At 35.3% G+C, this 11,334-nt stretch overlaps 1 protein-coding gene across 1 annotated transcript; it reads right to left on the reverse strand.

The window, feature by feature from the left end:
* Window positions 1-3,997: 3,997 nt before the first annotated feature.
* Window positions 3,998-4,659, reverse strand: KRTAP19-1 (keratin associated protein 19-1). Its single transcript, NM_181607.3, has one exon. It carries the CDS (start codon window positions 4,607-4,609, stop codon window positions 4,337-4,339), a length of 273 nt encoding a protein of 90 aa, NP_853638.1. The 5' UTR covers window positions 4,610-4,659; the 3' UTR covers window positions 3,998-4,336.
* Window positions 4,660-11,334: the final 6,675 nt, after the last annotated feature.

Genomic DNA, 11,334 nt, shown 5'->3' on the forward strand with positions numbered 1-11,334 from the left:
TTTAATAAAATTTCCTTCCATATCAGCATATTGAGCGCTTCATTGTTTTCATCATAATAGCAGCATTATGTGTCATTCCAGGGAGAGATATAAGGAGTCATTTTGAACAAATAACTTTTAACAAAGGGACTAAAGAAAGGTGGCAGGTTTTGAGTTTTGGAGATCAGATAGGAATAGATGAAAAGGTGCAGCCATAGTCCAAGTGGCAAATTATGACCATCAGCATTAGATAAAAGGTAAAATGAAATTGAATATATTTATAAAGAATTATATATTTTATGTATCTGTTAAGAAGATAGCACAAAATAGCTACCAATTGGCTATGGAGATGACAGAGGAGACATGTGAAGCTTCTCCATATTCTGACTTGAGTGGCTGTAGCGATCACAAATTGGTTGTCCTTGTCAACCAATTAAACAATAGAATCCACATGGTCTCTACAACCCATAGTAAGGTGCTTGGCAGAAACATAACTAAATATATAACAATATTAAGCCTTAGAATCTCCAAGTTAGTAGCTCAAACCATAGATGGATTCATAGCTGCAACCTAGTCCTCTAAACTTCAGAGGCCAGCAGTGATGTCTGTCAAACATATTTCCAATAAAAGGGAATACTTTTATTCAGATTACCAAATTGCTCAGGTATCCTGAATTTTTATTCTATACACATATCCAATACAATATTGATTCAATTGATCTTTCATAGTAATAGAGCATTTTTAATTGATTAAAGAGTTTTTATATTGATTTGCATTATTAGAGGTTTCTGTGACCAATCTGAGTGCAGTAGTAAGATGTGACCATGATTATTATGTCTGAAAAAACTTTTTCGGTGGAAGAAAGAAATTTTACTTTTTGTATCCATGTTTCAAGAAATTATTCATTCTCCAATTTTATCCTTTAACATTAATCTTGGATCCTAAATTATGCAATCACTATGCACAAGCATGACTAGGTACACATGACACTATTATACCTTCCTCAAAATTAGAATTTATAGTTTTCATCAGGAAATTCCCCCTCTACTTGCATTCATAAGAATTGTATGTTCTGTAGTATATTTTAAATTTTGAAGGTGAGTTCTACAGTATATCTTACTGATATACTGTAATAGAAATCAACAGAAATTCAGTTCTCCCAGCAGAACTACTTACTGACTGCAATTTAGAAATATCTTTCACGTTCCCAGCTTCCAATTCTTTAACAATCTAACCAAGAATAAAAACATCTTTTGCAATATACTTTTAAAAGCCATGACATTCAGGAGCATCACAAATTATATTTGGGAACAAATCAAATTTAACAGCACCTGGACAGTTTAGATCGGAAATCAAAAAGACCTTCAAGTAAGGCCAGCACTTAAACCTAATGAGGATGATTTTTGTTGTTTTTGCTTCCCTTTTTTGGTTTTCTAATTTGAAATAGAAAGTGTGGTGTAGTAAAAAGGTAACAGATATTCTATCTTCAAGGTCATCTTTAGTAGGATATAATGTCTGTCTGGAGAAAATTAGGTTGACTAGTCACATACTGTACATTCTAAATAATTGTTCTCTAAAAGCACCCACCATTTTTTATATGTTTATAAAGGGAAGCTTTATATATGCTTACAACCCTCATAGAGCAAATATAAATATGCAGACTAATTCACACATTGTTAAATTTTAGAGTTGACAAAGGACAATAAAAAAATCAAAGATCGAAATCATACAGAATAGTAACTACAGTTCCTATAATCTACAGGGGCTACGGGCTATTCTCCTGTAGATTTTTTGTTGTTGTTGTTAGAACATAAAATAATTAGCTAAAGCTAAAAATTAGCTTAATTAAATAATTAATTAACTCTTCTATTTTGTCCAAGGAATTTAGAACTTACTAAAACTTAGATTGCAAAACCTCACTAGCAAAATTAAGCATTTGCCAAGGGTAGCTGCTGAAGGGTCTTTAAATCACTGTCTTTCAGTTTAACAGCACTTGGACAGGTATTATATCTGGTTCTCATTTCAGCTTCACAAAAGATCAATTATCCATGCTCATTATCCTGATCTGATTACATTATATATATCAAAGCTTCACTCTGTGCCCCATAAATACATACCATTATTGTGCCAATTAAAAAATAAAATAAAATAAAACATGGAATGTGTTCTAAATGTGATTGGGCCCTTAACTTATGAATTTTTCTCTCTCTTTCTTTTTTGATTTCTCTCTTGCTTCTTTCTTTTCTTCTCTCCATTTTTTTGCTTCCATTGTTTAGTTTCTTAATTTGAAATCAAAACTATAGTATAGACAAAAAGGTAACACTTTTTCTATGGAAATTATTTATAAATAGTGTTCCTCTTTTAGATTTACAAAAGGATAAAAAGATTTTCTAAGATAAATAGTAGGGGTCCAAATTTGAATTTAAGTGGATTCAGACATGCCTAGTCATGTCAGACAAACTGGTGAAACAGGCTTCTCTTGCTACTTTGAAAGTTGACTGAGAAACATTGCAGAGGACGGTTCTATCTGTGTTTACTGTTGGTGTTCCAAGATGCCTGGCCACGGGTGATGAACTTGTAAAACAAGCCTGAAAGGAACGGAAGAATTTTTTGGGTGAGAAAAAATTCCTAGAGAAAAGAGAGCCAGGCTCCTTGAACTTGACTGAGAAATGAAGCCAGAGTTGACAGCCCAGAAGGTTTCTTATCAGTAAAGCCTCCTGTGTATTATTCTCATGTGACTTTGTGTCATCATCCATTCACGACAAGCCATATAGACTGTTAAGAGCCTCTAATAGGGTGCAACAAAAAAATCAGAAAGCATCCCTCCGGCTTATCCCAATTTTTCTTTCTTTTAATTTTTTTTAATTTTTTTACTTTTGTGGGGACATAGTAGGTACATATATTTATGAGTTACATGAGATATTTTGGTAGAGGCTTTCAAAGTGTAATAATCACATCATGGGAAATGGGGTAGCCCTGTCCTCAAGCATTTATCCTTTGTGTTACAAACAATCCAATTTTACTCTCCAAGTTATTTTAAAATGTACAATTGAATTATTATTGACAATAGTCCCCTAGTTGTGCTATCAAATACTAAGTCATTATTTATTCTTTCTATTTTTTTTGCACCTATTAACCAGCCCCAGTCCCCTCCCCAAATACCCTTCCCAGACTTTAGTAACTGTCCTTCTATTCTCTACCTCCATGAGTTCCATTGCTTTGATTTTTAGATCCCACAAATAAGTGAGAACATATGACATTTGTCCTCCTGTGCCTGGTTTATTTCACTTAACACAAGAATCTCCCAGGATGTTGGTCTGGGCAAAAATTTCTTGAGTAATACCCAGTAAGCACAGGCAGTCAAGGCAAAAATGGACAAATGGGATCACATAAAGTTGAAAAGCTTCTGCACAGCAAATGAAACAATCAACAAAGTGAAGAGACAACCCACGGAATTGGAGAATACATTTGCAAACTACCTCCCATTTTTTGTACAACATTGTGCCACTGGGTTTCAGTGCCGCATTTCAGTGGGAGTTGCCTCAGTCAAATATTGGACAATGGCCTTCAGGGAGATGCTAAATATAGAATGTAGTTCTGAGTAGGAAATGAGTGAAACTTCCCAATCTCCTTGCCGCAACCTCAACTGAAGGGTGGACAAAAAGCAAACACATGCCTGGCCAGAACAGGGGTACCAAGAAGACGTTCAGCTAACAGCAACCAACGTTGCACAGCAGAATATGAGAATGACACTATCCTTAGTGATTCCAGGAACACTTGAGGGACACTTGAGAGGGGCTGACATCCTAAGTAAATAGACAGGCAAGTTATTTTTATCTCTTGTTAATATGATATCTTATTTGTTCTCAAGCTTCCGTTAACACAGTAAACTAGAAACATTTTCATCATATTCCACCATGGAGCCACAGATCTCACTGCCTCATAAGTAAACTTTTTATAGTAGTTGCAAAATAAAATGTTAAATATGACAATGGAAACATTGACAAGAACTAAAATATTTATACTTTACTTCATTTATTAGATAAAAGCAAAATACAAGTTTTTGCTAGGATCTTGATAGATAACATCAAGGTAATGGTGGTAAGAAAAATAAAGCAAATTTAGAAGAACAACCTAGAGTAGTTATACATGAATATGATTTCAGGTGACGGACTCCGAAAGTAAAAAGACAACAAATATTCACAGAAGCAGCTTAAATCTATTTTAAAGATTTAACATAGCTAAATATCTCTCCATTGATGCTGAAGGCAATAGAATGGATTTTTGGAATGAAAGCACGGGACAGGACCAAACACATTTGGAGGTTTCTCCTCTGCTTCCAATTTCAGCAATTCATTTAATAAAAGCCAGAGAATCCGTATCCTCCATTGTACGATGGGCGGCAGCAGCCATATCCATAGCCTCCAAAGCCAGAGCCATATCCGTAGCCTCCAAAGCCAGAGCCATATCCGTAGCTTCCAAAGCCAGAGCCATATCCGTAGCCTCCATAGCCACAGCCAGAACCCCGTCTGCAGAAGCTGCCACATCCACAGCCATAGCCATAGCCCAGGCCACCGAAGCCTCCACAGCTGTAGCCCAGGCCTCCGTAGTAGCTGCCGTAGTGACTCATGGTGTCAGGAGTGGTGAGTTGGTTTGTTGTTCAGGCAAGATCCTGAGTGTGAATGCCAGCATGTATAGGAGGTTTATATACCCTGGTCAGAGCATGTGATAAACATGTGCCCCTCTTTTTGTGTCATTCCATGAATTATACTTGCCTGAGGCAGCTCGTTAATCTATTGTCCCCTGACAACACTCAGTAAGATTGCCTGAGCTTGTTTGGCTACCTAGTTAGGTTGTCCCTGAGCTTGCTGCTTTAATTTTATTAGAAGGGATTGCTGCTTCTTCAAAGTCTAAAACATACCAAACCTTAAATAGAATTCTTTATTACCAGTCACTTAACATCAGTCACATTAAAAATTCTTGAATTTCTATTCAAATATATTCTCATCACTAGCATTTTTGGACGTGGTTATAGTTGATTCCACAAAATTTCAAGAAATAGCCAAGGTCAAGACTCTTACTTTCATCAGTTTCTTCATAAAACACACATATTTTGTAGAGTGAGAAGCAAGAAAGATTTGATTCATCTGTGTATGTACCTGAAAGAAACAAATGTCACCTAATTTGTAGACTTTTAAAACTTTGATCATGCACAATTGTTATATTTATTTTGGGCTTTGCACAACAGCATACAAAATATTTGTTTTGTTTTAAGAACATAGCACAATTGTAGTCATAAGTGGAGAGACTCTTACAGGGATCAAAAGCCCATCTCATCTGGTCTTTCCAGAGTTTTCTATTTATATCTCAAGTCCCTTCTCCATTATATGTTCTAACCTCACTGTTACCAAAAAATGAAGATTATAATCTGCCTTCATACAGAATTGTTTCTCTTTCTCTACCTTTTGTCATTAATTCATCCCTCTTGCATCTTTTGCTGATCTCACTTCAAATTTCACCCAACTTCTTTTCCTCCACAATTCATTACTATAACCAGGTAAAAGTTTGAAGTAGGTAAAATGTTCTGGCTACAACCTATTTACTCAAATCAACATTCATTCTTTCCATTTAGATCTCCATAGTCAATATTTGCCCTTGTCTTTGCCTATTCTGTGCCCATGTTTTTTGTTGTGCTTTGTTTTAACCGCTTTCTAGTTATCTTTTCCTGAGAAATCAACTAGATCTTCTAAGATATTGATTATGGTGTTTCTTGTTTAAAACATTTTTCAACTCTTCAAATTATCTGAAATTTAAAAAAATATTTGTGCAACTTAGATTAACACGAAATTCTCTAAATGTAAGGGACAATTGTGAAAAATATAGAAAAGAAGGAGTAGCTCTGTAGGGAGAGTTGACCAGTGAGTCCCTCAGCTCAGCCCATAGAGTTAGAAATGCCCAAGGCTTACCTCATACCTGATTAAGCCTCATCCAGATGTACCTATATCTTGAAACTTGGAACTCCAGAAAGGTATCAGTTTTATATGACTATAATCATACTACTAAGATTTTTTTGAGATTTATGAGTAACCGAATGACACATTTTAAAATTTTTATTTTATTTAAATTTTTTATTGATACATATTTTACATACTTATTAGATACATATGATATTTAATTGCATGCATAGAATGTATAATGTTCAAGGTAGAGTAATTGAAATATCCATCACTTTAAATATTTATCATTTCTTTATGTTGGGAATAAATCAAGCTCTCTCTTCCAGCTACTTTGAAATATACAGTATATTGTTGTTAACTATAGTCACTCTGCAATAGAACTTATACCTTTCATCCAACTTTTATCTCTCCTGCACCCACACACCCATTCCAGCATCTGATATCTATCACTCTTTTCTCTACATTCATAAGATTAACTTTTTTATCTCCCACTTATGAGTGAGAACATGTGATACCTCTCTTTGTGTGCCTGTTTATTTCCCTAAACATAATGACTTTCTGTTCAAGTCACACTTTTTTTTTTTTTACAATGCGGTGTTTCTCTGACCTGCTGAGTGTCAAAACAAAGTCTCATATTTAGTTGGCATTCAAAAATATTATTTGAATGAAGCATATGACTTTGACATCAATGCAAGGGCCATGAATAGCATAACATGAGCAACTTACTGGCTATTCTGGGAGATGTTGTAAGGCTGAACGCAAGTTCCAACAAGATTCCTGCTGTCAGAGTAGCATTTAACCCAACAATAGCCTTCCTCTTTGATGTCTGTGTTACTGTAACCCAATTTCATTCCATTTTTATTCTCCATTTCAGAAAATCAGTCAAGTGATACAATTCATATATACATTTCTAATGAAACACTTAGAATTATGAATAAATTACATAGCATTAAGAATTTCACATTTTCTTGTGTAGCTCTGTCAGAGCATGTGACCATGATTAAAGGCTATTTTGTTTGTTTTTGATACATAAAACTGTCTCTATATGGAAATAATATGAGACACAAATGCGAAACTTCTATAGTACAATAAACACTAAATGTATTTTCAAAGAATAAAACATATGACTATGACATGCATAGCTTATTTTGTCCACTAGCCGTGTAAACTAGAAAAAAAATTTGAAGAATATGTAAAAAATCTGATTTATTTTCTGTATATGCAAGTGAAAAAAGTCTCTGAAATTTCCTTTGAGGGGTTATTCTTTTTCTATCCATTTATTGGATCAAAAGTAGATTTGGATCATTATTGCTTTTTAAGAACTGTTAGCTCATGACCCTATTTTCTACTCATGTTGATAGGTGGAAGAGTGAAAAATGTTCTCACATTTTTCCTGGAAGTAAGGAAATTTTTGTTATAAATTTTCTATCATCTCAGAAATTATTCAATACAACCTTAAACAGCATGAAATTATAAGATTGATTATAGTAATAACAATAGCAGTAACAATTATATTGATTACTGCTTTTCAGCCCCATGGAAACTATCCCTGGGACATTATCCAAATGAGAAGAAAATGCTTCTAGTGAAATCCTATTCTACTGGGTCAGACAATATTGCTGACCTCCCATAGAGTTACTTTGCTGTATTTCCCCTGTTCAGCCCATTGTTGTAGTACACAGAATGCCCTGAGAGCATTGACTCAAAGAAGAGGTCATGGCGCTTTGTTTTGTTTTTTAACTTAGAGTCTGATTTTAACATTGCTCATTGGTTAGTTACAATCAGAAGTAGATAAACTAAAATTTGATTGGTTTAATTCTGTATATCGCAACAATAAAAATGAAACATCAATGTTAATGTAAGAAAAAGGGCCAACCTTCATAAAAGCAGTTGAGATAATTTAGCTTTTCTTACAACTATGACCAGAACTTTCAGAATGGTTATCTGACAACAATCAAGAAGAAAATGCATAAAAGGTGAGTCTGCAAAGTATAGTCTAAAACCTGGGACTCAGGATGGCATGATTCTGATCCTAGTCTTGGCACCAATTATGACAAAAATAACATATTCTGAATTTCTGTGCCTCCAAAATTGGAATACAGCGTTGCAGAATTGTAATGCCTCTTTCTGCTCCTTGTGTGATTTAATTTTTGTCCTCATTTTATTACATTTGGCGAGCTTGTACAAAACATCTGTAGGCACATATCATTGCCTGAAATTCTGTTTTATAAAAACAATATTGTTTTGGCCATTTCTTGAAAGGATGAGGTTTCACTGAAATTTATCTTCATATGTATATATATATGTGTGTGTGTATATATATATATATGTATAGAGAGAGAGAGAGAGAGAAGTATGTATACATAATGATATTGATATAAGACATATAGAAATATATAAAATGATATTTGTATAAAATATATACATTATATACAATATATACTATATATGTATGTATTATATATTTTATATATAATATATAATAAATAAATTAATATTTCATTAATATTTAAACATATACTTCTATATATTAATAAATATAAATAACAAATTATCAATAATCATATTGAAATATAAATAAAATAATATTTATTATTCATAATACATATAAATATAAAAATATATTTATTTATATTTAATATATAAATTTATGTAATATTTAAATATATACTCCTATATATTTAAATGTAATATTTAAATATATACTCCTATATATTTAAATGTAATATTTAAATATATACTTCTATATATTTAAATATACATACTTCTATATATTTAAATATTAAATGACACTTTTAGTCAGTTGAAACTACAGAATATTTTGCCTCATAATAATGTTTCTGTGTGTTTATAGTCCCTACTGCATTACAAATCCTTCAGTATAATGATGATAATAAAGAACACAATATTCCTATAAAAAGACAAGTGAAATGAGTTGAATGACTACAATTCACATTTTATTATCCAGTTTATCAAGGACTTTTAGGTCAGGCTTGTTGTACATGCATAACAAACTAGATGAAAGCAGAAAATTATGAATAAAAGAAGATTATAGATAATGCAAAGATTCATAGAAAAAGAGAGTTCACTTCTCTTTAAGTTTTAGGGATATAGATTATAAGATTTGTGAGAAGAAAGTTTGTTTTTATTACAGTTTTAATGATATGAATGTTGTGATGCTTAATTTTAAGTGTCAATTTGACTCTGTTAAGGGATGCTGGGATAGTTGGTAAACTATTTCTGGGTTGTCTGTGAGGGTTTTTCCAGAAGGATTCATATTTTAATCTGTAGACTGAGTAAAGATCACTCTTACCAGTGTATGTGAGCATCATTTAATCTGTTGAAGACCTAAATAGAACTAAATGGGGAAGGCAAAGGGAGTTTGCTCTCTGAGCTGGGATCTTCATCCTCTCCTATCCTCACACATCAGCATTCCTGGTTAGAGCATTTGGTCTCAGATTGAAACTTAACATCATTGACTCCCCTGTTCTCTAACTTTTGGGTTTGGACTGGAAGTACTAGACCAGCTTTCCTGGGCCTCTAACTTGCAAACAGAAGATCATGAGACTTCTCAGCCTCCATAATTGCATGAGTTCTTCCCTAACAGTAAATATTCTTCTGTATATCTATGTATATCCTATTGATTCTGTGAAATGCTTTATATGTGTGTCCCTGCCCATATCTCATGTCAAATTGTAACCCCTACTGTTGGAGGAGGGGCCTGGTAGAAGGTGATTGGGTATGGGGGCAATGTCTGATGGTTTGGCATCATCCTCCTACTGCTGTCTTGTGATGGGGTTCTCCCGAGATCTGCTTATTTAACAGTGTGTAGCACCTCCCTTGACCTCTCTCTCCTGCTGACCATGTGAAGATGTGCTTGCTTCTCCTTTGCCTTTCACCATACTTGAAAGTTTCCTGAGGCCTCTCTAGGAGAAGCCTGTGCAGCCCACAGAACTGTGAGCCAATTAAACTTATTTACTTTATAAATTACCCAGTCTCAGGTATTTCTTTATAGCAGTGTGACAATGGACTAATACAGAAAATTGGTACCAGAGAAGAAGGACATTGCTATAAAGATACTTGAAAATGTGGAACGACTTTGGAACTGGGTAACAGGCAGAGGTTGGAACAGTTTGGAGAGCTCAGAAGAAAAGAAGATGGGAGAAAGTTTGGAACTTCCTAGAGATTTGTTAAATTGTTGTCACCAAAACGCTGATAGTGACATGGACAATAAAGCCCAAATGAGGTGGTCTCAGATGGAGGTGAGAAACTTATTGGGAACTGGAGAAAAGGTCACACTTACTATGCTTTAGCAAAGAGACTGGCAGCACCGTGCCTGTGCTCTAGGGATCCGTTGAGCTTTGAACTTGAGGGAGACAATTTAGGGTATCTGGCAGAAGAAATTTCTAGGCAGCAAATCATTCAAGATGTAATATGGCTACTTCTAACAGCATACCCTCATATGCTTGAACAAAGAGATTATCTGAAGCTGGAACTTATATTTCCAGAGCATAAAAGGGAAACATAGCATAAAAGTTTGGAAAATTTGCAGCCCAGCCATGTCATAGAAAATGAAATCTCATTGTTTGGGGAGAAATTCAAGCCTGCTGCAGAAATTTGCATAAGTAGAGAGGAGCCAAATGTTAATAGCCAAGACAATGGAAAAATGCCTCCAAGTCATTTCAGAGACCATTGCAGCAGCCCTTTCACCACAGGCCTGGAGGCCTAGGAGGGAAAAATGATTTTGTTGGCCAGGCCCAAGGACCCACTGCTCTGTGCAGCCTTGGGACATGTTGCCCTGAGTCCCAGACACTCAAGCTCCAGCCATCGGTAAAAGGGCTCCAGATACATCTCAGGCTGATGTTCCCAAGTGTGCAAGCGAGGAGCTGCCAAGGTTTTCACATGGTGTTAAGCCTGTGGGTGCACAGAGGGCAAGAGTTGAGGCTTGGGAGCTCCTGCCTAGATTTCAGAGGGAGTAAGAAAATACCTAGATTTCCAGGCAGAAGTCTGCTACAAGTGTGGAGCCCTCATGGAAAACCTCTACTAGGGCAATGTGGAGGGGAAATGTGGGTTTAGAGCCCCCACCCAGAGTCCCTACTGAGACACTGCCTAGTGGAGCTCTGAGAAGAGGGTCACCATCCTCCAGACCCCAGAATGGTAGATCCACAGACAGCTTCCACTGTGTGCCAGGAAAAGCTGCAGATACTCAATGCAAGCCTGTGAAAGCAGCCAGGAGAACTATACCCTGCAGAGCCACAGAAGTGGAGCTGCCCAATGCCCTGGGAGTCTACCCATTGCATCGATGTGGCCTGGGTGTGAGACATGCAGTAAAAGGAGATTATTTTGAAGCTTTAATATTTAATGACTGCCCTGCTGGGTTTTGGACTTGTTTGGGGTC

The sequence above is a fragment of the Homo sapiens genome, chromosome 21 (genome assembly GCF_000001405.40).
Source record: "Homo sapiens chromosome 21, GRCh38.p14 Primary Assembly".
Classification (NCBI taxonomy): Eukaryota; Metazoa; Chordata; class Mammalia; order Primates; family Hominidae; genus Homo; species Homo sapiens.

Excerpts from the sequence above, each read along its gene's own strand:
- KRTAP19-1 (NM_181607.3), bottom strand. The coding sequence starts at position 4,609 with ATGAGTCACTACGGCAGCTACTACGGAGGCCTGGGCTACAGCTGTGGA.